Below are 25,923 nucleotides of genomic sequence, written 5' to 3' on the forward strand. Positions count from 1 at the left end.
GTGACATAATCATGGCTCACTGTATCCTTGACCTTCTTTCTGGGCTCAAGCAATCCTCCCACCTCGGCCTCCCAAAGTGCTAAGATTACAGGAATGAGCCACCATACCTGGCCCTGAATCTTGGGTCTTGGCCTTAGTAATTAAAACCAATCACCACCATCCGTTGCGGACTTACAACCTACAGTGTTCTAAACATTTTATATGTTTGATCTCATTTAATCCTCACATCAATTTAGGGACAAAGAGCCCCCCACCCCCCGTTTTTTTTTTTACAGCTGAGGAAACACTTCAAAGTGGTAAGACATTTGCCCGAGGTCCTGAAGGAAGAGAGTAAAGCCATGTCTGCTGTTTTCTAGAGGCTGCTACTGTCCCCTTTACTGCCCTGAAGATTCAGCCTGCGGAAGACAGGGGGTTGCCCCAGTGGAATTCCCCAGCCTTGCCTAGCAGAGCCCATTCCTTCCGCCCCCAGATGAAGCAGGGAGAGGAAGCTGAGTCAAAGAAGGCTGTCAGGGAGGGAAAAAGAGGACAGAGCCTGGAGTGTGGGGAGGGGTTTGGGGAGGATATCTGACCTGGGAGGGGGTGTTGCAAAAGGCCAAGGATGGGCCAGGGGGATCATTAGTTTCAGAAAGAAGTCTCAGGGAGTCTTCCATCACTTTCCCTTGGCTGACCACTGGAGGCTTTCAGACCAAGGGATGGGGGATCCCTCCAGCTTCATCCCCCTCCCTCCCTTTCATACAGTTCCCACAAGCTCTGCAGTTTGCAAAACCCTACCCCTCCCCTGAGGGCCTGCGGTTTCCTGCGGGTCTGGGGTCTTGCCTGACTTGGCAGTGGAGACTGCGGGCAGTGGAGAGAGGAGGAGGTGGTGTAAGCCCTTTCTCATGCTGGTGCTGCCACACACACACACACACACACACACACACACACACACACACACACACCCTGACCCCTGAGTCAGCACTTGCCTGTCAAGGAGGGGTGGGGTCACAGGAGCGCCTCCTTAAAGCCCCCACAACAGCAGCTGCAGTCAGACACCTCTGCCCTCACCATGAGCCTCTGGCAGCCCCTGGTCCTGGTGCTCCTGGTGCTGGGCTGCTGCTTTGCTGCCCCCAGACAGCGCCAGTCCACCCTTGTGCTCTTCCCTGGAGACCTGAGAACCAATCTCACCGACAGGCAGCTGGCAGAGGTGGGCAAACACCTAGTCTAGAGTTGGGGAGGGCTGTCCGTGAGGGTGTTGAGTGTCCCAGAGAGGATGCAGGGCCTCAGAGGAGATGCTTTAGGGGTGTGTTGGTGGTGATGGGCGTATCTGAAGAACAGAGGTGTCCAGGGTTAGGCAGTGGGGGGTCTTGTGGAGGCTTTGAGCAGTGATGGCCAGAAATGGGCAATGGGGCTTTCCTAGGTGGGAAATGGGAAATGGTTTGGGGTGGGGGAGGCATTGGAGGGTTCTGGGGTAAGCATAGGCTGGGAGTGAACAGGGGCAAACCTTATGCAGCTGTGGGGTAGAAATGGGCTAGAGGCATCCAGGGGTGAGAAGGAGCTGAGGATGTCTAAGGAGGGGAGATCCCTGGGTGGTCAGAAAGCACTGGTGTCTGGAAAGCATTTAATGCTTTATTAAATGTTAGTCCCTGCTGGGCATGACGGCTCACACTTGTAATCCCAGCACTTTGGGAGGCTGAGGTGGTAGGATCGCTGAAGCTCAGGAGTTTGAGCCCAGCCTAGGCAACATAGTAAGATCCTGTCTCTACAAAAAAATTAAAGAAATAGCCAGGCACAGTGATGTGCACCTGTAGTTCCAGCTATGCAGAAGGCTGAGATGGGAGGATCGCTTGAGTCCAGGAGGTCCAGGCTGCAGTGGGCTGATACCGTCTCTCCGAAAAAGAAAAAGAAAAAAGACTCCCTCCATGAGTGTCTGGAGGGAGTCCTTTGGCCCCAGCTGGGCAGAGAAAGGGGTCAGAGATCTGGCATGTGTGTGTCCCTTCATCCACAGGAATACCTGTACCGCTATGGTTACACTCGGGTGGCAGAGATGCGTGGAGAGTCGAAATCTCTGGGGCCTGCGCTGCTGCTTCTCCAGAAGCAACTGTCCCTGCCCGAGACCGGTGAGCTGGATAGCGCCACGCTGAAGGCCATGCGAACCCCACGGTGCGGGGTCCCAGACCTGGGCAGATTCCAAACCTTTGAGGGCGACCTCAAGTGGCACCACCACAACATCACCTATTGGTGAGCCGGGGCCGTGGGGGCAGCGGGGTGGGGCGGGGAGGCCAGGTCTGGCTCTTGGGCCAGCGGTGAACATGTCCTGTCTTGGACGCGTCCCTGGGTTTCACTATTTAATGTGTGGCCCCTGGGGAGTGTCCCCACCTCTGAGCCTCTGTTTCTCCTTCAGGGAAATGGCTCTTGCAATCCAAGTCCTCCTGCCAGGGCCATTGTGAGGGTCTAAGTAGACAAAAAAAAAAAAAAAAAAAACAGTCTGGAAGCAATTTATAGATGAGAGCGTGGACGGCAGAGAGCATTGTGTATGTTGAAGTCTCTGCGATATGGGGTGTCCCTGCTGCCCCGCTCCAGCCTTTCACTTCTGACCTCCTTCCTCTGGCTCTTACGCTACAGGATCCAAAACTACTCGGAAGACTTGCCGCGGGCGGTGATTGACGACGCCTTTGCCCGCGCCTTCGCACTGTGGAGCGCGGTGACGCCGCTCACCTTCACTCGCGTGTACAGCCGGGACGCAGACATCGTCATCCAGTTTGGTGTCGCGGGTGAGAACGTGAGGAGGGAAAATCCAAGAGACCTGGGCGGGGTCAGGGAAGGGAGGACCACGGAGAGCGTGGAGGCAGCAGTGGCCCCGGCTTCCTCTTGCCTGCCCGCGCTGCCCTGGCTTATACGGCCCCTCCTGCCAGACAGTGCACAGGGCCAGGGCGCCAGGCTGGGAGAGCTTCGCGCAGGCGGGATTTCAGCCCGCACTTATTTCGGAGCCCTTGCCTTGGGCAGCGCACAATCTGCGCAGCAGTACTCGGCTAACCCTCTTCCTCTCGACCTGTTTCTTCAGAGCACGGAGACGGGTATCCCTTCGACGGGAAGGACGGGCTCCTGGCACACGCCTTTCCTCCTGGCCCCGGCATTCAGGGAGACGCCCATTTCGACGATGACGAGTTGTGGTCCCTGGGCAAGGGCGTCGGTGAGATTCTGAGTCCTCCTGGCCCCTGATTCCCTTCATTCTCTCCCACTCATCACCCGCCGCCCTAACTCCGGTCCCCCCTCCTCCTGCAGTGGTTCCAACTCGGTTTGGAAACGCAGATGGCGCGGCCTGCCACTTCCCCTTCATCTTCGAGGGCCGCTCCTACTCTGCCTGCACCACCGACGGTCGCTCCGACGGCTTGCCCTGGTGCAGTACCACGGCCAACTACGACACCGACGACCGGTTTGGCTTCTGCCCCAGCGAGAGTGAGTGAGGGGGCTCGCCGAGGGCTGGGGGCGCCCACCACCCTTGATGGTCCTGGGTTCTAATTCCAGCTCTGCCACTAGTGCTGTGTGGCCTGCAATTCACCCTCCCGCACTCTGGGCCCAATTTTCTCATCTGAGAAATGATGAGAGATGGGATGAACTGCAGACCATCCATGGGTCAAAGAACAGGACACACTTGGGGGTTATAATGTGCTGTCTCCGCCTTCTCCCCCTTTCCCACATCCTCCTCGCCCCAGGACTCTACACCCAGGACGGCAATGCTGATGGGAAACCCTGCCAGTTTCCATTCATCTTCCAAGGCCAATCCTACTCCGCCTGCACCACGGACGGTCGCTCCGACGGCTACCGCTGGTGCGCCACCACCGCCAACTACGACCGGGACAAGCTCTTCGGCTTCTGCCCGACCCGAGGTACCTCCACCCTGTCTACCAGGTTCAGCCCCGCCCTCTCATCATGTATTGGCCCCCAAAACGCGGCTCTTCCCTCCCATCAGTTTGTCTTTCCACTCTCATTGGTCCTCAGGACGACCGTGACTCCGCCCACCTACACCACATTTCCACCACTATCCCTGACTTCCAATGGCCCCGCCCCAGCCACTAAGGTTCGGCCTTTTCTGCCCAGCTGGCCGCCTCTTCCTTGGTCTGGTGTCCCAGGCACCGCCCACGGGTCTAGCCTCTTCTCAGGAGTGCTCTACAGCGCCCCCTAGGCCACCAAGATTGTTTAGCTCCCTGTCGGGTCGGCCCCTGACTCCTTATTGGACTCATCCATCTGGCTCATCCAAGGCCTTGGGTCTCTCCAGCTGACTCGACGGTGATGGGGGGCAACTCGGCGGGGGAGCTGTGCGTCTTCCCCTTCACTTTCCTGGGTAAGGAGTACTCGACCTGTACCAGCGAGGGCCGCGGAGATGGGCGCCTCTGGTGCGCTACCACCTCGAACTTTGACAGCGACAAGAAGTGGGGCTTCTGCCCGGACCAAGGTAGGCGTGGTCCCGCGGCTCCGGGGCTGGGGTTCCCGGCAGTGGTGGTGGTGGGGTGGCCAGGGCTGGGGGCTCGGCCCGGCGCTCACGTCTCAGGCTCCCTCTCCCTCCAGGATACAGTTTGTTCCTCGTGGCGGCGCATGAGTTCGGCCACGCGCTGGGCTTAGATCATTCCTCAGTGCCGGAGGCGCTCATGTACCCTATGTACCGCTTCACTGAGGGGCCCCCCTTGCATAAGGACGACGTGAATGGCATCCGGCACCTCTATGGTGAGGCAGGGGCAGGGATGGGAGGAGGAGGGGAAAGGGCGTGGCTGTGCCACAGTACCAAAGAATTGGGGGTTGGGGATCGGGGGAGGAACGGGGCGTGCAGGAGAGGTGGGACCTCAACGTCTGTCTGGAAGCAGAGCCTGGGCCCAGTCGCTGCCATGTCAGTGCTTAGAGGTGGTGATAAAGAGACTCTAGAGAGAGATAGGTGTGACTTCAAAAGCCAGTCTACTCTGGGCATGGTGGCTCACGCCTCTAATCCCAGGGCTTTGGGAGACCCAAGGCGGGAGGATTGCTTAAGCCCAGGAGTTCCAGACCAGCCTCGGCAACATAGCCAGACTCCCATCTCTACAAAAAATAAATGAGCAAGGCGTGAAGGCACATGTCTGTAGTCCTAGCTACTCTGGAGGCTGAGGTGGGAGGATCTCTTGAGCCCAGGAGTTCGAGGCTGTAGTGAGCTATGATTGCACCACTGCATTCCATCCTGGGCCATAGAGGATGTCGCTTAAAACGAAAAAGAAGAAGAAGAAAGTCCTGTGGTTTGGGAAGGGAGGCTGAGTGAGGAGGGGCCTGTGTGCCAGAGGAGGCTTCACTGAGAAGCTTAGGGGAGCAGATGTTCTAGGGGTACAGAGGTATGCAGGAATAGGAAGAGTCTCACCCCGTGTCTCTTTTTAGGTCCTCGCCCTGAACCTGAGCCACGGCCTCCAACCACCACCACACCGCAGCCCACGGCTCCCCCGACGGTCTGCCCCACCGGACCCCCCACTGTCCACCCCTCAGAGCGCCCCACAGCTGGCCCCACAGGTCCCCCCTCAGCTGGCCCCACAGGTCCCCCCACTGCTGGCCCTTCTACGGCCACTACTGTGCCTTTGAGTCCGGTGGACGATGCCTGCAACGTGAACATCTTCGACGCCATCGCGGAGATTGGGAACCAGCTGTATTTGTTCAAGGATGGGTGAGGAGGCGGGGTTGTGTGGATGCGGGAGGGGGCTTTGCGGAGGGGCTGCCCGTCCCTTCCCGCCCACTGGCCCTGTGTCCAAGGCTTAGAGCCCGTCCTTTCCCTCCTCGCTTTCTCAGGAAGTACTGGCGATTCTCTGAGGGCAGGGGGAGCCGGCCGCAGGGCCCCTTCCTTATCGCCGACAAGTGGCCCGCGCTGCCCCGCAAGCTGGACTCGGTCTTTGAGGAGCGGCTCTCCAAGAAGCTTTTCTTCTTCTCTGGTTAGTTACCTACTTTCCCTCCCCCGCCCGGTCAATCCCCATCAGTCAAGGAGGCTCAAGAGACCATCGATAACCCACGAAACGTCTTGTGCGTTTTAGAAAAATACGCCCCCTGGCGGACGCAGTTTAGCAAACGTAGGGGCGGCTGAGTTTCTGCCCCCTCCTCTCCACGCCCTCGCGTCGCTCTACCCAGCGCCTCTGCCCCTGGGTTGCAGGGACTGCGGGCACGCGGGCTAGGAAAGGCCTCGCCGGAATCTCCCTCCTCGCGTTCTAGGAGTACGTGCTCCCTCTGCGCCCCCAAACCGACGTGACCCTCCTCCCCTGCAGGGCGCCAGGTGTGGGTGTACACAGGCGCGTCGGTGCTGGGCCCGAGGCGTCTGGACAAGCTGGGCCTGGGAGCCGACGTGGCCCAGGTGACCGGGGCCCTCCGGAGTGGCAGGGGGAAGATGCTGCTGTTCAGCGGGCGGCGCCTCTGGAGGTGAGCGCCGCCGCGGCCGCCGGCAGGGGGAGCCCGGGCGCCGTCGGTCCGTCCGCTAGCCGGCTCAGCACCTGTCTCCTCCGCGCCTGCCCGCAGGTTCGACGTGAAGGCGCAGATGGTGGATCCCCGGAGCGCCAGCGAGGTGGACCGGATGTTCCCCGGGGTGCCTTTGGACACGCACGACGTCTTCCAGTACCGAGGTGAGGGCTGAGGAGGATCCCTTCGTGAGACACCACACTAAGCTCCTCTTAGTGAGTGGTCAAATTCTGAGCGAGGAAGAAAAAGCCCTTGGAAATGGAAACAAATGCCCCAGCACAGACAAGATCCCAGCAGAGGCAGAGGCCTTCTCCAGGTCATTTAGGAAGTCAGGGATGCAACCAAGACCAGGACCCAGATTTCCTGCCTCCCCGGCTGGAAGCTCTTTCTCCTTCAGTACAGGACGGCAGGTGGTTTGTATGGAAGCTCAGTTATTAGACAACAGTCATCAAGTGCCGATAATGTGCCAGGCACTGTGCTACAGGGAGAGATAAGACAATTCACAGCTCTGTGACTTTGGGCAAGTCACTGCTTCTCTACTCTTCGAGCCTCAGTTTCCCCATCTGTAATATGGGGACTATAGCTGGAATTACACTTGACTTCCCTTTCTTACCAGTCACATCCAAACAGTTGACAAGGTGAACAAGATTTCCTGCCACCAAAATCTTTTTCGAGTCTGTCATTTTTTTTGCCATCTTCTTTATAAACACCCCAGCCCAAACCATACTGGCTGTCCAGGACCTTTAACAAATTCCATGAGATTAGAGAGGGGGTAGGAGTGAAGGGCAATGGTCTTGGGAGTGACCCCAGATGAATTCCAAGGTCAAAGAAATTAAGAGGATCTGACACTCCACCCCCGTGTTCTCATCTCTTCCCACTCCTCCTGTTATTTACTCTGCTCCACCCACACTGGCTGCTCTTTGAACAGATCAAGGTCATTCCTAGCTTACAGCCTTTGTGCCAGTTGTTCCCTCTGTCTGGAAAGCTTCCCCTCCAGATTGTCACTGGGCCATCCCACTGTCTTCCTTCAGGTTTCAGTGCTAAGGCCATTGCTTCAATGAGGCCTTCTTTGATGCTTATTATCTATTTACTTGTTTTTATTTTCTCCATAGCTTTCTATATTTTCTTTTTTTTTCTTTTTTCTTTTTTTTTTTTTTTGAGATGGAGTCTTGCTCTGTCGCCCAGGCTGGAGTGCAGTGGCACGATCTCAGCTCACTGCAACCTCCGCCTCCCGGGTTCAAGCGATTCTCCTGCCTCAGCCTCCCAAGTAGCTGGGATTACAGGTGCCTGCCACCACGCTTGGCTAATTTTTTGTATTTTTTAGTAGAGACGGGGTTTCACCATCTTGGCCAGGCTGGTCTTGAACTCCTGACCTCGTGATCCACCCGCCTCAGCCTCCCAAAGTGCTGGGATTACAGGCATGAGCCACCGCACCCAGCCGCTTTCTATATTTTCAAAACCAATCTCATTTATTTATGTGTTTGCTTAATTGTCTCTTGCCTCACTAGAGTGTAAGCACCAAGATAATTGAGATCATGCCTGCATTTTTTCTGCTTATCCCCAGTATCTTGAACAAAGCACATAGTAGATGCTCAGTAAATGATGAATGAACAGATTTGTTCAATGAATGAGCGTTGAATGAATTGTTCTGAGCATTAAGATAGTTGGTCTATTCATTTGTTAATTCATTCACAAAATGTGTATGGTGTACCTACTGTGTGCTAGGCTCTGTGGCAGTGCTTTGGGCACTGAGGTCTGTGCCCTCCAGCATCTCACAGAACCTCACAGCATCTCACAGGTTGGGGGGATGGAGGTGATATGTGAAAACCTTAGAAAGTTCTAGAAATGGCAGAAGAGATGGTTGTCAAGATCTTGTTCCTATTTCTGTATATGTGGGAGAATTAGAATCACTCCTCTTATGCCTGCCTGTCTCCTGCAGAGAAAGCCTATTTCTGCCAGGACCGCTTCTACTGGCGCGTGAGTTCCCGGAGTGAGTTGAACCAGGTGGACCAAGTGGGCTACGTGACCTATGACATCCTGCAGTGCCCTGAGGACTAGGGCTCCCGTCCTGCTTTGGCAGTGCCATGTAAATCCCCACTGGGACCAACCCTGGGGAAGGAGCCAGTTTGCCGGATACAAACTGGTATTCTGTTCTGGAGGAAAGGGAGGAGTGGAGGTGGGCTGGGCCCTCTCTTCTCACCTTTGTTTTTTGTTGGAGTGTTTCTAATAAACTTGGATTCTCTAACCTTTAGAAGCAGACTTTATTTATATATGTATGCACGTATGTATGCATGTATGTATTTAACTGATAGAGTGCAAAAAAAAAAAAAAAAAGGAAAAACAAATAACTGATAGAGTGCTTTCTACGTGCCAGAAAGTGTTCTAGGCCGGGCACGGTAGCTCACTCCTAGCACTTTGGGAGGCCGAGGCAGGCGGATCACGAGGTCAGGAGATTGAGACCACCCTGGCTAACACGATGAAACCCTGTCTCTACTAAAAAAAAAATAGAAAAAATTAGCCGGGCGTGGTGGCGGGCGCCTGTAGTCCCAGCTACTTGGGAGGCTGAGGCAGGAGAATGGCTTGAACCTGGGAGGTGGAGCTTGCAGTGAGCCGAGATCACGCCACTGCACTCCAGCCTGGGAGGTGGAGCTTGCAGTGAGCCGAGATCACGCCACTGCACTCCAGCCTGGGTGACTGAGCAAGACTCCGTCTCAAAAAAAAAAAAAATAGTGTTCTAGGCACTTTGTAAATGTTAACATATTCAATCATTCCTGTTAGGAAAGTATGATGTGATTATTTCTATTTTACAGTCAAGGAAATGATCAACCTGTTTATTCATTCATCAAACATTTATTGAGCCCCTACATGGAGCCAGGCCCTGTACTGGGCAATGGGGATAGAGAAATGAGTTAGACTTTAGAATGCATAAGATTCCCCTTGGAACTTGCTTAAAATGCAACTCCAGGCTCCACCTCCAGAGAGTCTGACCTATTTACAAGGGTGATTCTATGGCTGGTGGCGGTGGGATCACACTTGGGGAGTGTGCAGTGCATGATCTTTTATTCTACAATAATGGTGTGTGTGTGTGCACATGTGTGTGTGTCTGTGTTGTGGTTGAGGTCCAGGAACGTTTCTCAGTCAAGATGACATCTGAACCGGAACTGAATCAGAAAGGATGAACGAGCTTCTTCCTGTGCAAGGGACAATCTTCTTACAGGGTAATTTACCAAGAACCACTAAACCTAAAAATGTAACTACTTTCTGACCCTCACATGTGTGCACAAGACAACACATAGAAGGATGTTGATTGCAGCATTGTTTGTTAGTGAAAAACTGGCAATAACCTAGCTGCCCAGGAGTAAGTCAGTGGATAAATAAAATATGGATCATATACCTGACGTTAGTAGCTATCCACGGTACAGCACTATGTGCCAGGCACTGTTCTATGTGCATTTTGTGTGACAAAACAACCAGAGGAGATAGGTACTCCTATTACTTTGTATGTACTATTATTACTGCCATCACCAATCCCTTGTTTTACAGATAAGGAAACTAAGGCACAGAGAGTTATACAACTCACCCAAAGTCTCATAGCTAGTGAGTGATAAGAGTGGGATTTGAATGTGGGTTCTTGGTGCAAGTGCACGAAGAGAAAAAGAAGAGAAAAAGCAGTGGGTGTCTGGAGAACTTCAAATGGCTCAGAACTCCAGCATGGGGTAGTAGCAGGTGGCTAAGAGGGAATGGAGAGGATTCCAGAATGGTTAAGATAGCAGTGCTAGTTTGGGCTAGATGAGAGAAGTCCTGAATGCCAAGCTGAATATGAATTTGACCTTACAGGTTAGCAAAGGGACTTGACTGAAAGATTGGGGCCCGTGAGTGGAGATGATGGGTTTGATCAGGGCCCACGTGGGAATTTAAGTAGGAGTCCAGAAAACTGCCCTCCTGAGCTTCCTCTTTCATCTGTTTCTTGCTCAAATGACCCACTCCCACTTGGCGTACAAACATTCCCCGCCATGGCTTGTTTACAATCTGTCTTAACCCCTGCCTCCCACTAGATACTAGTCTATTTCTCTACCTTCCTATCCCTATTCACAATAAAACTTCCCAAAAGCATGGTCTCTACTCACTGTCTCCACTTCCTCAATTCCCATTCTCTCCTCAGCCATTTCCAGCCTGGCTCCCACCCCACTACACCACCAAAGTCACCCTCTTCAAAGCCATTTATGACCTTCTTGTAGCCAGATGTGACAGGAGCTCCTCTCTGCTCATCCCACACCAACTCTCCCCACATTGACACAGTGGATCCTGCCCTTCTTCCTGAAACTCTCGGCCTCTGGAACCTTACTTCTGGGTCTCCTCCTACCTCACTGGGTGGATTTTCCTCTTCTGGTGACAGAGGCACCCTTGTGCTCAATCGTGGGAATCCTCTGCTCTGTGTATACTCATTCCCTGTGATGTCTGGTAGCCCACAGCCTTAAATAGCATCTCTCTGCTAAAGACCGTGAAATTTATGTTTCCTACCATAACCTCCTCTCCCCTGCCCCGAGCTCCAGACTCATGTTCAACTGCCTACTCTACATGGCTCCTTAGCTGGCAAACAGACCTCTCAACCTAACGGGTCCAAACTGACTCCTGGGTTTCACCTTCCAAACGTGCTCCTCTGTTGTTACCACTTTAATAAGAGACAGCATCATCCACCCTCAATCAAACTGAACACCTAATCAGTCCTAAAATCTAGGAATCAGTTATTTAAACTTCTTTTCTAGTACTGGGTTTCTCAGCCTCTACACTATTGACATTTTGGGCTGGATACTTTGTTGTGGGGGATTGTCTTACACTGTACATCTACACTGTACCTTCTAGCATGTTTGGTGTCTTCCTCTAGGAGGTGACAGGATCCACGGCCAGATGCCAGGCCCATTCAGGGTCAGCCCTCTCTGCTAAGGAAGGCCCCAGTGTGGGGATGGGGTGCAGCAGGGTAATGTTGAACTGTGACTCATGGCCAGGCAGCCCTGGTACAAACCTAGAGGGCCCAAGAGGCCTTTAGCCCCTAGATGCTGGTACTAGCCCCTGCTCCAGTTGTGATAACCAAAAATGTCTCTGAATATTGCCAAACATTCCCTGGTGGTCAACATTGCTCCCAGTTGAGAACCATTGCCATAATATAATAAATATACAAATGTATCTATCATAAGTGTACATTTGAAGACATTTTCACAAATGGAACACAAGTGTGTAACCAGCACCAGGTCAAGAAACAAGAGGCTGGGCATGGTGGCTCATGCCTATAATCCCAGCACTTTGGAAGGCCAAGGCAGGTGGATCATCTGAGATCAGGAGTTCAAAACCAGCCTGGCCAACATGGTGAATAACTCTCTCCACTAAAAATACAAAAATTAGCTGGGCACGGTCGTGGGTACCTTGTAATCCCAGCTACTTGGGAGGCTGAGGTAGGAGAATTTCTTGAACTGGGAGGTGGAGGTTGCAGTGAGCCAAGATCATGACACTGTACTCTGGCCTGGGCGACAGAGTGAGATTCTGTCTCAAGAGACAAAAAAAAAAAAAAAAAAAAAGAAAGAAACAAAACATTATCAGCACCCTAGAAGCCTGCTTGCAATCACTACCTCTTCTCCCCAAGGGGTACCACTATCATTACTTTTTTTTTTTTCTGTCACCCAGGCTGGAGTGCAGTCGCATGATCTCTGCTCACTGCAACCTCCGCCTCCCAGGTTCAAGCAATTCTCTGCCTCAGTCTCCCAAATACCTAGGATTACAGGCACCCACCACTACACATGGTTAATTTTTGTATTTTTAGTAGAGATGGGGTTTCACCATCTTGGCCAGGCTGGTCTTGAACTCGTGACCTCATGATCCACCAGCCTTGGCCTCCCAAAGTGCTGGGATTACAGGTGTGAGCCACCGCGCCCAGTGCCACTATCATTACTTCTAACAGCTTAGATAGACTTTGACTATTTTTTACTGTATTTAAATAGTGTTATAGGGTATGTATTCTTTTGTGTCTGGACTCTTTTTTATCAAGGTTCTATTTGTGAGATTCATCCATATTGTTCTGAGAATTGTAGATGGTATTCCATTGTGTGAAGGTACTACGACTTATTTCTCTATTTTACTGTTGACAAGCATTTGGTAGATTCCAATTTGGGGCTATTATGAACAATGCCCCTATGAACATTCATGGTAAATGTCTTTTGGTGATCACAAGTAGTCATTTCTTTCGGGTATATACCTAGGAGAAAAACTGCTGGGTTGAAGGATATGTGTACGTTCACCTTCAGTAGATGTTTCCAAATAGTTTCCCAAAGTAGTTTTTGCCTAACTACACTCCCACCAGCAGTGTGTGAATTGCCAGGATTTCTCCTTGACTTCACTCTTATGGTCACGTGTCACATCCGATCCATCAGTGGGTCCTGATGGTTTCACTTTCAAAACCTAACTGGAATCAGACAACTGCCACCACTCTAGTCTGGCTGTCATCACCCCCCAGCTTGGGGTCTGCAGGAGCCTCCTAATTAGATTTCCAGCTTCTACTCTTGCCATTCTTTAGTTGAACCTTCGCCCAGCAGCCAGAATGATCCTGTTAAATTATAAATTGGATCACATCATTCCCCTGCTCAAAAAATCCAGGATCCTCCCCAAAGCCTTCAGAAGACCACATGATCTGCCCTTCTCTCCTCCCTCATCTCCAGTCACTCTCTTCTCCACTCACTCTCTTCCAGACACAATGGCCTTGCTGTTTCTTGGACAGTCGGGACTCCTTCTCACTCCAAGGCTCTGCATTTGCTGTTTCTTCTTCTAGAGAACTCTTCCCCCTAGATCTTTGCATAGCTGGCCCTTCTCATCAGTGAGGTCTCAGCTCAAATACCACATCTTCTAGGAGGCCTTCTCAGGCCACCCCTAAAGTAGTCCTCCCTCTTACCCATTATCCCATGGCCCTAGTTTTAAACATACATCCAATCTCAAATGATCTCATCTATGCATTTGCTCACTTATAATCTTTTTCTCCTTATTAGAATTTAAGCCACTTGAGGGCAAGAAGCCAGTGGATCTCATCCACCGACGTATCCCTCGCACCATTGACCGAAACACAGGAGCGCTATCGACATGTGCCGAATGAATGAATGAATGAATGAATGAGCCCCAGGTGTTTAGGAGACCCTAACAGAGGTGCCCCCGTTGTAGGGACGACTCTCACCTGCAGATGGCCTCCTCAGGCCCTTCGGGTGGCACTGGGGAGCCCAGGGCCTCCCAGCGAAGTGGCCAGATTCAGGAACCCTTCGCACAGCGGGCACTAGGACCCTGCGCGGCGCCGCGTCTCGCGGGGGGCGGGCGGGCGGAGGGGGTTGGGGGATCCGCTCTTTCTCCCTCCTAGAGCCTGGTTGCAGCCACTTGTGCGATCCCGGACCTTGCCGCGGCCGCCTGGCTCCTTTCCGCGCCATGAGCCGCAGGTTCACGGTCACCTCGCTGCCCCCCGCAGGGCCCGCCAGAAGCCCTGACCCAGAGTCCCGCCGGCATTCGGTCGCAGACCCCCGCCACCTCCCGGGGGAAGACGTCAAAGGTAGAGGCCGCAGGGGGCGGGGCCTGCCAGGGCCGGGCGGGACGAGGGGGAGGGGCCGGGGCGGACCGTCTGTTGAAGGGGGCAGGGCCAAGACCGGGGGCGGGGAGGGGTCCCAGCCCTAGGCCTGAGAGGGGAATGGAGCCAGGACTAGGAAACCAAGGGGCCGGGGCCGCGGAACGCAAAGTGTGGAGGGGGAGGGGCCAAACGCGAGGTGGGCGTGGCCACGAGGGAAAGGGGTGGGGCCAGGGAAGGGGTTTGGACGGAGGCGAAGGGGGCGGGTCTGGTGATGGAAAGGCCGGGGTCAAGGTGGAGAGTAGGCCGTAGGGCACTAAAGGGGCGGGGACATCTCGAGTAGGGAGCGGGACCAGAGTGAGGAGGTGGAACTAGGGAAAAAGGGGGCTGTGTGTTGAAGGGGGATGGTCAGGAGCCCCTAAAGGGGAGGCGGCGGGACTAGGTTGGTTTGGGGTCAGGAAAGGGCGGGACTAGTAGGGAATGAGTTGGGCCAGGAGGATGGGAGTGGGGCCTGGGAGGGGGGTGGGGTCGAGGGCGGGAGGAAAACTGAGTCAGGGTTGCCGAGGCAGGTGCCAGGTCAGCGGGTCCTCGGTGCCTGGCGGATCCTCCAATCCTCTAGCTCCCTGGAGGCTTAGCGGACAGCGACTGGGGATCCCGGGAAGGAGACGGGAGGCAGGGAAGTTAGTATGGATCCTGGGCAGCGAGATTCAGGGAGGATGCCGTAGGGTCGCTGATCCCGACTCTTGGGGACCCACTTAGCTCCTTGTCTGCTCGAGCTCCGTAAGGGTTGGGAGGAGCCAGCTCAGGCGGGGTTGGGGGCGTCTTCCTCGCGGGCCCTGTGCAGGGTCTTGTAATGGAAGTTACACGCAGGGCACAGAGTATAGGGGAGGGGAAAGATCCTTCTGGCCTTCGGTGGAGAAGTAGCATCCTGGGCGCGTGCACAGTCTCCCCTCAGGGGGCACTCATCAGGGGTCCTCTCCCTGGCTCTGAGGCCCTCGGGTCTGGAAGGAACAAGGCGAATCGGCTTGTAGTGGCCCCAGCGAGGGGAGGAGGAGGAGGAGGAGGAGGAGGAGGAGGAAGAGGAGGAGGAGGAAGAGGAGGAGGAAGAGGAGGAGGAGGAGAAGGAGGAGGAGAAGCCTCCCCAGACCGCCAGGGGTCGCTGCCGAGCCGCAGGTGAGCTCGCCCCGAAGCAAACCCAAGCGCCGAAACCCCTAGAGTAACCCTTAGGGGGTTATCTGGCGGACCTCCTCATTGTACAGATGACCAAATTGAGGCCTGGAATTCCGAATGGCCCCAGTCCCGGGAACCGAACGCCTCCTGGTTGTGGCCACTTGGATTTCTTGGGCTCCTTCCACTCTTCATCTTTCTCATAATCTCTTTTCTCATTTTCATGAATGACCTTACCAGCCTCCCAGATTTGAAAGTAAGAAATTCTGGAGCCATTCTCAACCCTTCCTTTTTTCTTTCCAGCAAATCCAACTGATCCCCACGTCTTGGCCATTCACCTCTGAAACTTATCCTGAATCTGGCAGCATCGGTCCCCCCTCTGTCATCATCGCCCTGCTCCAAGCCTCACATGGCCACGACCACATCCTCTCCACTGGCCTCCCTGCCTCCAGTCCTTCCCTAGCCCTCCTCCACAGAAGCCCCCCATCACTTGCAAAATAAAGGCCAAAGCCTTAAGTCTGTCATTCTCTTTCCTCATTTGCTTCTGGTGTTCTTGTCCACATTCATTCTCCCACCTCCATCAGCCAGGAAAACTCCTATTCGTTCTGTAAGTTATAGCTCATTTAACCTTTTCCAAAAACCTTTTCAGTTTCCTCTTCGGCCCACCCACTGCACCCTTAGTGCACATGTCCCGGTGGATGGCAGTCGTTTTCTTTACTTATGGGTATCCTCCATTGGAACATCTCAAGGACAGGGACCATCTCCTTTATCTTTGTGTTCTGAGTTCCAGACCCAGAGCCTGGCACTTAGTAGGTGTGTAATGCTCATAAGATGAGAGGAGGGTGGCTGTGGGATCCTGCTTCTCTACCCTTGCCTTCTCTTCTCTCGCTCCTCATCCCCTGGCTTAGGAATAAGACGGCCCTCTCTCATGTCCCAAGGTGATTGCTGTTTTCCCATTCACACTCTCAGATGCCGGTACTCACACTACTTCGCTGGGGTCGAAGTGAAACACAGCCCCCAAGCTTTGGGTGTGCAGGTGTGTATGAGCCTGGAATGCTGTGTGCTGTGGCAGAGGCTGTGTGTGTGTGTGTGTGTGTGTGTGTGTCTTGTGGGAGGAGCATCCCCCATTAGTTTTGATGACCTGTGGGGTGGTCAGTGACTCACTCAGTGCTTCTGTGTGTCACTATATTGCCAGCACGTTGAAGGGTGTGCTGATGTGTACATTTCTGTGTCTATCTGAGGGGTGGGTACCTGTGTGCAGGAGTGTATTGGAAGTTCCATCTGGACAATGATTTGGGTGACTTTTAACCTTTTAAGCCTGAAGCAGTCTCAAGCACCTCCTCTCTGGCAGATCACTGTATGGGGAAGTAGACAAGGGCTACTTAGGGGAACCCAGCATCTGCTGGTATCTTTCCCATAGCTGTTCTTGTGTCAGCCCTCTAGCCCCTGATAGATTCTCTTTCCACCTCTTGTCTTCACCCAAAGGGAGGGATAGCAGCATGTCTAAGACTGGGAAAGGTTGGGGGAGATGGTGTGGGTGTGTATTATCTTTTACTCTGGGCCAAATGAGTGGGGTTTGCCACTTGGGGGGCTTTCTGCTGCCAGAGGATGAGCCATAGGTGAGAACATGACTTACAGGGAGTTAAAGAAGCAAGGCAAGGCCAAGCCTCAAATCTGCCACTAACCCTGGATTGCGGGCCACACACCTCACTTGCTTCACCTGTGTCATGGGAGATTGATGGTGACTTGGATGAACAGAAGTAGACCTGGTGACAGTTGTTACAACTCTGAGATGCTCCCCTATTCCTTTATCTGATCCTCTACTATGCCTCCATTTCTCAGGGGGGAGTCAGGGCCCTGAAAAGAGCCCTGGGCCTGGTAGGACTAACAGGAGTTGGGATGTGTCCCCATGGAGGGAGAGGGAGCTAACTTATGCTGGGAGGATGGAGCAAGACCACAATGTAGCCCATCTGTGTTCTAGCTCAGGCTCTGTGGTGTGACCTTGGGCACACTTCTTCCCCTCTCTGGGCCTTAATATACCCATCTGTAGTATAAAGGAGTTGAACAGGAAGCTATCTAAGGGTCCTTCTAACCATAAAAATGCTAAGATTTTGTGATGATTTGGAAGGATGAAGCTGTCTGCCTTCTCTAGACACAAACCTCATGTTTCAGTCTCTCCATCTGTAAATTGGGAAGAATAATGCTGTTATTGGTATATATGTTGGATCTGGAGATTTCCAGTCTGTCTAAGGAGATCTCCAGTCATCTCATCCCCAAGCCAGAACTCAGAACCTCACTGCCCGGTACCTCAGCCCAAGGTGAGCCCTAGGAATCTCCATGGCAACAAACTGGTTATGAACGGGGCTGCAGTTGCCATGGTGACAGGCTGCTCTCTCTTTCTCTCTCATCCCCCTCCTCTCCCCTCCCCTTTTCTCAATGAACCAGAGCGATCTTTAGGCCTCAGTTCTCCAGGTGGGGTGGGGATCGGGGGGTGAGTGCAGTGAGAAAGGGGTCCGGATTGGGAAAGAGGGAAGATGGACTGAGTCTGCAGAGGAATGAGGGGCTGTTGGGGTGCTGTTGCTATGGTGATGGGGCTGCAGCCTGTTAATTAAACCCCCGGTTGCCACGGAGACAGTGGTGGTTGACGTGCTCCGCAGTGAGCCCTGTGTGTGTGGGGCGTGCTTTGCGCTGGACTCATCAATTCACTGCTACAGTTTTGGGTCCGAGGATGGGGCATGCGGGTGGGGAAGAAGAAGAGTGAAGGAGGGCATTCAGGACCCTGGGCCCATAAGGCCACAGCCAGCGGTGGGTGGGTTAGGTTGTGGGGGTAATGCAGTGGAGATGCGGAGGGAGAGGGATTGAGCCATAAGGAGGAATGCTATGCCTGCCTCCTGTGAAAAGAGGACCCAGTCCGGTGGCTCTAGCTTCCTCCAACCAGCCCCTTGTCCTGGTTCAGTGGATGGAGTCCCGGACAGGAGGTCAAGGGGCTGGGTTCTAGTCCCTAGTCTGTTACAAGTTCACCCCATGAAGAAAATATGAACCTTTCCATTTTCAGACTCCAATTTCACAATAAGTGGAGAGTGGAAAATAATTTATAATATCTCTTCCAGTTCCCAAATCCTGACACTCAGGAGGCAGCTTCTCTGAGCTTTTTTCTCTCTGAGACATATGGTGGGAGGGGGTATGAGTTTGAGAGACTCAGAGTTTAGAAATAGGACCCTCCCTAGCCCTGCATCTTGTGCTGCTTTAGTGAGAGGGTTTCTCTGGCCCCAGATCTCCCCAGGGTTCTTGGTGGGGAGGGGATGCTGTACTGGCAGCCAGGTTCCTGGGGCTCTGAGCTGTGGGTCACTTTTTACTGGCCAGTGCCAGGCTGGCAGTGTGGTGGGTGCCTGCCATGTGTTTTCTCTGAACCTCACCACAGAGAGTTGGCTGGAGGCCAGAATAGGGCACAGTCTTCCTGAGAGGTGAGGGGTGTCAGTGGAGGGGCTGGGGTCCCCCCTTGGGACTGTCTGCTCACTTGGTCGGGGCTCCTTAGGAAGGGATATGTGGCTTTGGTCTGAGATTAATAGAGCACTAAGAGTTTTCAGAGCAGGAAGAAGTGCCATGGATTATACGACCTAACTCATTTTTACAGACGGGATACTGAGGCCCACAGAGAGGAACCTGATTTTGCCCAGAGATACACAGAGAATTTGGGGGCAGAGGATATGACAGAACCACTATCTCCTGAATCTCAGATGGCTCTTGAGATGGGAACTCTAGTGAAGGTGGACAGATGGGTTCCCCAGGGAAAGAGGAATCACTCCTGCCTTCACCCGTACTCCCTAGAATCTAGGTTTCCCCATGCATGGGCTTAGTCTCTGAGTGGCCAAAGCTGGACCACAAATGAAGGAAAATAACCCCAGGGGAACATGCCAGACCTAGGATTACTGAAAAACCTTAGCATCTCCTTCATTCTACAGCACTTCTCTGACAAACATGCTACACGTGTTTTACTGTTATGCATCTCTGCAGAGTAGTAGAACACAGTGCTGCTGCTGCTGCTAGTGCTGTGTGTGTGTAGAGTGGAGTGGCATGCTTAAAAATTTTTGAACACTGGCTTCTTTTAACCTCTGTCACCAATTCAAACTCATCTCACCCTTTTGGTGGTTTTTTTCTCTGGGAGAGCCAAGAATACCAGTGCCCACAACTTGTCTGAATAGCTAACTCTCCACCCTGAAAGGTCCTTTGGGTATCCAAAAAACCAAGTGGCAGCGATACTTGATTGGTAGGTCCCTCAGAGGCACTTTTGAGTCAGCTGCTGAAAACTCCACGGTTGACCCAATCTGAAGCCACTGACAAATTGTATTAATACAAGTAAAGCTGAGCCCTGGATCCTGTCCATGGTCCTGAAAAAAGTCCTGTCCTATACCCCGGTCTCCAGGGATATGAATGGCTCTTTAGGATTTTTGCAGGTTTTCTGGAGGCTTCCCCTTCAGTTGCAAGCCAAGAGTCCATTCTAGCCCTGCACCTCTGAAGCCTGAGCACAAGAAAAGGAATAAAGCACATCTCAGATGTAGTGCCTGTTTGTTTGTTTGTTTGTTTGTTTGTTTTTCAGGAGCTAATAATCAGAGGCTGCTGAGGGGCATGGATATGACTGCATCCTTGTCTCTTCTATGGAGGCAAGACGACTTTTATAAGTTCTATCAATGAAGAGAGTCCTAAACTGGAGTAAAGCAAACTGGATGCTAGACCAAATTCTGCCATCCACTGGCATTATGTCCACAGGCAGTCATTTTCCCTCTATGGGCCTTAGTTTTTTCATCTGTGAAATGAAAGCTGTGTGTAAGATACAATGACTGATCTTTTCCCAACCGAAGAACTTTTCTGGAACTTAGAGAGCCAGGGAGAGAGCTAGTACCAGTGTGAAGATTGTTTACCCCGATCTGCTCCCACCCTCAGATGTTTAGATCTTCTAGAGACTCAAAGCTTTCAAACCTCTGATGCCACTTCCTGAGATGTCTGCACCACTGGCTCAAACCTGGACTCTAGGGGCTCTGAGGGGTCCCAGGATGATCAAGCTTCTGGGGGATTGGCCTAAGGGAAGAGGGGAGGAGGACAGAGAGCATGTCGGCTCTGGAAGCCTCAGAAAGCAATCCTGGATTAGGGGATTAGACACTTCTGCCCCAGGAGAAAATCTGGTCTCAAACCGACAGGCGGCCTCATTCCGCCCTCCCCCACTCTGTCCCTGGCCAGCCTCAGGACCGGCCTGTCCTCCCTAGAGGCTGCACCATCCCTGATGGAAAGTCAGTGCTCCCTGGAAACTCACTGCTGCCTCTTCTGCTCCTCCTCACCAGGTCTTATCTCTAGATCAGTCCGCAGTCAGAAGGTCCCTGGCTGTGGGCTCCAGGGACTTGTCTTGGGGGTGGGACGCTGGGACTCTTGTCAGTCTAAGCACAATGAGAGAGTTCCTTGGAACTTCTCAGGCGCTACCCCACCCATTTTAAGACAGATTGGGTCAGTCAGCCCAGTGACCTGAACGCCCCTGGGGGTAGCACATTGCTTAATTATGGGCCCTGGGCTCTACATGCCTCCAGCTCCAATCTCTTGAGCAGTGGTATGAAAGAGGGTCTGGTTCTCCTCCCCCACTTCAGGGCTGGCCTCTCCAGTCTTGCAGAGAGGCTTCCCAAGGGCCCCATGTTCCATGGCGCACCTCCACGGCCACTTCAGTGCCCTTTATCTTCCCCCTGGGGGTTACCCCAGACCCCCAGTCAAGCAGCCGCTGCGGGGCCGCCTCCCCGCGGCCGCGACCTAGTTCCCTGCCGTTATTTTTAGGGCGCGGGATGGCACCTGCCCACGTGCCGGGCCCCGCCCGGAGAGTGGGTGGGGGGAGCTGCGTCTGCTCAAGGGAGGCGAGGCCCTGTCCCCCGAAGCACCCCCTTCATCCCACCCACGCAATCCCCCAGTTTTTGTGCAAGGGGGCCACTAGTCGGGCTCTGCCCGCCCCTCATCTTCTCTTCTCTCTCCCTCCCGCTCTCCCCCCAAAACCCCGCCAGTGGCTCACGCCTCCTGCATACGGGATGAGGTGAGCAGCGCCGCTGCTGAGAGGGGGCGCGCGCGGGTGTGAGCGTGTGTCCGTGTGCGAGTGTGTGTGCGCCGGGCGGGCGGGCACTGCAGCTTCTTCCTCCGTGGAGCGGAGAGCGAGACAGAGCTACAGCGAACGAGAGAGCGGCGAAGGCGGGTAGAGGGGCGCGGGCGAGGCGGCGCAGCCATCCCCGGACCAGGGGCCGCGCCGCCACCATGCTAAACAACCTGACGGACTGCGAGGACGGCGATGGGGGAGCCAACCCGGGTAAGCTGTGGTCCGGGGGCGGCGGGGGAGGGGGCAGCGAGGAGAGGAGGCAGCTCTGGGGTTAGAGGCGGAGCGGGGGCCACCTCCTTCAGAGAGGAGGCTGGGACTGACCCGGGCGGTGGGCGCCAGTTGCAGCCTGGAGCTCAGCTCCATTGGAATGCTCCGGGCGCTGTCCAAGGTGCTGGAATGCGCCGCGCCCGGGGGCAGAGCTGCGGGCCGGGGGATTATCGCTGCCCACGGCTTCGGGCTGACTTGGGTTAGCTAAACCGAGGAGGCGGTGGGAAGGGGATAGAAGACCTAGAATGGGCTGATGTGGAGCTCGACGGCGGGAGGAGGGCTCCTTTCCCCGACAGGGGACCCCGGCGTCCTGGCGCAGAGCAGGCACCCGTGGAGCCGGGGGGCGCAGTCTGCTGCAGTCCCTCGTTCTAAGACTTCCATCTGGAAGATGGGGGAAGAGGTGGCTGTGTGTGTGTGTGTGTGTGTGTGTGTGTGTGCGCGCGCGTGCGTATGTGTGTGTGTGCGTGTGTGTGTGTGTGTGTGTGTGTAGGGGGTTTGGAGCCATATGACAGCCCCCCGTCCGGGCTGTGGTGTCTCCTTAAGACACCCAGATTGTCCCCTTGGTGCAATCTGGGACCCCTCCCCCAAGGCTTCCCAAGGTCCGACCTCAGACTGAAGCGTACTTCCTCCATAGATTTTCAGCTCTACTTTGCAGAATCTCTCTCTCGCTTTCCCGTGGGTTCCTATTCAGGACGGGAAGCAAGATCACCCTCCTTTCTTCCCTCTTTCCCCCTCCTCTCAGTTCCCTGGGGCGGTCCAGGGCGGGGCGGGGGGGAGTCTTTTTAGTTAGCTCTGCTAGCTTCCCCAGTGAGGCCTCAGAAATGGGGTCCCAGTGGCTGATTCCTCAGCGCCGCGACGCGGACACTGCGGACGCGCTGCGGTGGGTGCGGAGACTCGCAAGGAGCCGAGGGGCTTGGGACAAGTCCTTTCGCTGCTCCCGCTCTCCCCCGCCCTCCTCCGCGGCTTCCTTGCTCCGAGGTCTTGGGGCCAGCCACCCCCTCAGGCTCCCAGGCCCCCCGCCGCCCCCGAGCGGTCTCAGCCATCCATCACGGCTGTCAGCCACCCCCACCCCCCACTCTCCAGCGGCGCTGCGTCCCCTGCGCACTAGCGCGCCTCCCGCGCCTGCTGTCTGCGCTCAGCGCCTTCAAACGTTCCCCTGGGCACTGCTTGACCCTATGAGCCTAGACTCCCGCAGATCCCTCTGGCGGATGGCGCCTAGGGCTGAAAGAGCAGGGTCTTCTAGGGATTGGCAACCTTGACTCTGAGGTCCTCCGGATCCTGGATCTCAGGGCCAAGTGGCCGCTTGGAAAGGCTGGGGACACCAGGGTCCCTGATCCTTTGTCTGACTCCCCCCCACCCCCCGCCGCTTCCCGCAACTCCTCATTCCTCCTGGGGGCTGAGTGGTATACAGGTGCCAGAACTCCTAGCTGGCCCTCTCATCCACCTCCCCAGTGACCCTGGGATCACCTCATCCAGCATCCGCCCCCTCCCCCGCGGGCTTCTGGCCGGAGGGGGAGGGGGTTTGGCAAAGTTGAGTCTGCGGCAGCGCCAGGCATCCCGACGCGGATCTTTCCATCCGGGATCCCCTTCAGATGCCTCCACTCTGAGAGGGGGACTCAGATGGAGAGCATCTCTCTGTTCCCTCAGACACCAGGTATGGTCCCATTTCCCAGCACCCGCTTTCTCTGCCAAGGTTTCACCAGGCCTTGGGGTTTCCACAGGGGCTCAGGAGGCCTAGAAAAGAGGCATCAGTGTGTGTGAGGCAAGAGTTGAACTAGGAACTCGCTTCAGTTCTATCCCCTCTCCGTTAGTTTCTAGACACTGAGTGCAGCGGACCCATCTGGAGACCTTCTTTCTATACATAGGGTCCAGGACCTGGAACTCAAATGGCCAGAACCTGGGTCATGTGCTGTGGGTCCCAGAGAGAGAAGTCCCCCCTCCTCCAAGCGGTGCTTGGAGATGGTAGTAGGAGGTGCTAAGGACCTTCTGGGCTTGAGAGAGGACCATCAGGCCAAGAGCCCCTGACATCTCTGATTCTAGATTCTTGGGGATGTACGGGAAGGAACTGGTTGCTGACCTCGGGCAGGTGGGGATGACCCGAGCAAGAGGGCACTTCTGGACTAAAGAAGAGCCCAGGGATGTGTCCCGGTCTTCTTTCTCCTTGGGGTCTGACGCCCCGTCTCCCTCTCGGACCTGGCCTAGGGATTCCCCCAGGCCCAGCCCCAGGCCCCGGGGAGGCTTCTTAGCCTGCGCCGCTCGCCTGTTTCCTCCCCGGGAGCTCTGGCCGCCGCAGCTTAATTGAAAGCCGATTCGGGTTGAGAGCTCCCAGGGGGCGGGGGCGGGGAGGGCTCAGCCTCAGTCTGGCCCTGCCTCTCGCGCGCGCGCCGCTCGGCGCTCCCGCCATCACCCTTACTCCTTGGCTCCGGGGAATCAGGGCGAGTTTCCCCTTAGCTGTTCTGGTCCTTTGAGAACTCGGAAGCTCATTCCCCATCCCCCTCAACCAGTGCGCCTGGCGTTCAGGGAGGGGACGAAATCAGCCCTGGCTGACAAGTCCCGGGAGCCTGGCGTCCCGCCCAGGCAGCTACTGGAAAGGCGGGACCCAGAACTAGCCTACCTAGCCGCCCTCTCCCCTGCCCTCATCTCCTGGCCCGGATCCGGCCTGGAGTCTGGCTCCGCGCTGCGCGCCGCGTTACATAAGCGGCTGCGGGCGCGCGGCCGGCTAGGCTCGGCGCTGCGCTCTCGGCCTGCGCGGTCGCCATGGAGACCGGCGCGGGGCCACCTAGTTGCAGGGTCTCGGGCCAGGAAGCCCCTATTCCTGTCCCCTGAGCGCCACCCGCCCCCGCGAAGGAGGAGGCGCTTGGGAGGGGGTGTGAAAGGCAGAGGGGAGGGGTTCTCCTGTCTGGTTGTCCTGGCCCTAAGAGGGGATGCTGCGGGGAAATGGACCCAGCTCCATAGGAGACAGGACCCCAAAATCTTGCGGCTGGATATGCGGCTGGAGATGTGGGATGGGGAGCCCCGGCTGGGTGGGCACCAAGTATGTTAATAATAATCGCAATTGTAATGATAGCAATAGCCACACTCGTGGCGGGCACACCTAATATGCATGATTTAATTTAATCCTAGCAACAGCCCTATGAGTTAAGCTTGGTTAGTATCCCTTTGCAAAGGAGGAAACTGAGGCGTAGAGAATTTGTGACTTGCTGAAAGTGACGACACAGCCAGTGAAGCTGGGACTGGAATGTCAGTTTCCATAACTCCAGCCCCCTTTTTTAACCGTTAGGAAACATCCTTTCACCTCAGGTCCCCTCAGTCTCTAGTCCACACCATGATGTGCTGAGAACAGGAGGCATACTATCAGCATTTTAAAAGGACCTCTTCCTTGTTTCTCCTGTTCTCTGGCCCCAGAGAGCTCTTCTGAGACCCTGGGGTCCAGAAGGGAGCCCTGGAGAACTTAGCTCCAAAGACTTTTCCTGAGCACCTATTATGTGCTGGGAGGTGGGTCTCTTATTCCCAGGAACTCACATATGTGAGAAGAAAGAGCTGACGATTGCACCCTATTTGACAACCGGGAGTTTCTGCCTTGATGGATGAGGTGGAGGTGGTGGCAGAAGACTGGGTGGTGGGTTTCTTTGGAGCAGGCGAGGCATCACTCCTCCTGGCCCAATTTTTAGTCAGGAAGAGATTGGTTTTATAACAGAGACAGGCCATGCTCTGGCTGGGTGACTGAGGAAGGTTTCCCGGAGGTAGAGAGGAGGATGGGGAAGACGCAGACGGATGGAGATGGGGAGAAAGGGATGTCAGCCATCGAGGGGACAGGAGAATCTAGGTGCCTAGGGCCTCAATTTCACTTGGAATTTGATCAGCGGGGAGTTTCTCCAGTGTCCAGAGAGATGTCAACTGCTGGAATTCAGCCCCGGAATTGAGGAAGGGTCATGGCTGAAGCCAAGGAAATGTACCTATGGGGCCTCTTATATCTTTCTGAAGGGACCTTCCCCCCTGGTGCCCAAGATACTTTCTCCTCGAGTGATCTCATCTAGGCACATGGCTTCACACGCATACTACACATGTTTACATAGCTTACCCCCATCTCTTTCTCCTGCCTAGCCTCTTTGCTGCATGTATCCTGATTCGTATATCCAGGTGGCTTCTGCATGTATCCACTTGAGTGCCCTACAGTGCCTCACCCTCAGCTAAATTCAGCATCTTCCCCACCTCCAAACTCCTTCTCTTCTAGTCTTCCCATTTATCAAATAGCACCATCATCCAACCATTCACCCATGCTAGAAACCGCAGACATTATCCTAGGTTCTTCCTCTCCCCCTCCCCAAACATCTGGCATGGAAATATGCCA

At 54.7% G+C, this 25,923-nt stretch overlaps 2 protein-coding genes and 1 long non-coding RNA gene across 4 annotated transcripts in view, besides 4 other annotated features; 2 read left to right on the top strand and 1 right to left on the bottom strand.

Annotated features, from left to right (window-relative positions):
- Positions 1,027-8,680, top strand: MMP9 (matrix metallopeptidase 9). The gene is made up of 13 exons (NM_004994.3): positions 1,027-1,183; positions 1,985-2,217; positions 2,602-2,750; positions 3,041-3,169; positions 3,262-3,435; positions 3,693-3,866; positions 4,256-4,432; positions 4,546-4,701; positions 5,374-5,653; positions 5,776-5,915; positions 6,243-6,393; positions 6,490-6,593; positions 8,369-8,680. Exons 1-13 carry the CDS (start codon positions 1,046-1,048, stop codon positions 8,485-8,487), a joined length of 2,124 nt encoding a protein of 707 aa, NP_004985.2. The 5' UTR covers positions 1,027-1,045; the 3' UTR covers positions 8,488-8,680.
- Positions 4,463-4,973: an enhancer, noted in NCBI's record as "H3K4me1 hESC enhancer chr20:44640983-44641493 (GRCh37/hg19 assembly coordinates)". NCBI's record gives its function as "activates a minimal SCP1, AML or CMV promoter by ChIP-STARR-seq in primed H9 embryonic stem cells {active_cell/tissue: H9 hESC(primed)}" and the evidence as "EXISTENCE:reporter gene assay evidence [ECO:0000049][PMID:30033119]".
- On the bottom strand, positions 5,621-14,192 carry SLC12A5-AS1 (SLC12A5 and MMP9 antisense RNA 1). Its single transcript, NR_147699.1, has 3 exons — positions 13,643-14,192; positions 11,850-11,967; positions 5,621-6,907 (listed from the first exon to the last, which is right to left on the bottom strand). It is a non-coding gene; the product is annotated as an SLC12A5 and MMP9 antisense RNA 1 (long non-coding RNA).
- Positions 6,340-6,559: a silencer, noted in NCBI's record as "silent region_12969". NCBI's record gives its function as "represses an Ori minimal core promoter by ATAC-STARR-seq in GM12878 lymphoblastoid cells {active_cell/tissue: GM12878}" and the evidence as "EXISTENCE:reporter gene assay evidence [ECO:0000049][PMID:35858748]".
- Positions 13,703-13,862: a silencer, noted in NCBI's record as "silent region_12970". NCBI's record gives its function as "represses an Ori minimal core promoter by ATAC-STARR-seq in GM12878 lymphoblastoid cells {active_cell/tissue: GM12878}" and the evidence as "EXISTENCE:reporter gene assay evidence [ECO:0000049][PMID:35858748]".
- The window catches only part of SLC12A5 (solute carrier family 12 member 5), a 38,465-nt gene continuing 26,346 nt past the window's right edge, over positions 13,805-25,923 (top strand). Inside the window, exon 1 of one of the 2 annotated variants that reach the window (NM_001134771.2) lies at positions 13,805-14,005. In NM_001134771.2, coding sequence (NP_001128243.1) covers positions 13,885-14,005 — 121 coding nt within the window. In that variant the 5' untranslated portion in view covers positions 13,805-13,884. Of the gene's footprint in view, positions 14,006-21,333; positions 21,516-25,923 lie in introns of those variants that run through there. The other variant, NM_020708.5, reaches the window with a different exon arrangement.
- Positions 13,883-14,242: a silencer, noted in NCBI's record as "silent region_12971". NCBI's record gives its function as "represses an Ori minimal core promoter by ATAC-STARR-seq in GM12878 lymphoblastoid cells {active_cell/tissue: GM12878}" and the evidence as "EXISTENCE:reporter gene assay evidence [ECO:0000049][PMID:35858748]".

Source organism: Homo sapiens, chromosome 20 (assembly GCF_000001405.40).
Source record: "Homo sapiens chromosome 20, GRCh38.p14 Primary Assembly".
NCBI lineage: Eukaryota > Metazoa > Chordata > Mammalia > Primates > Hominidae > Homo > Homo sapiens.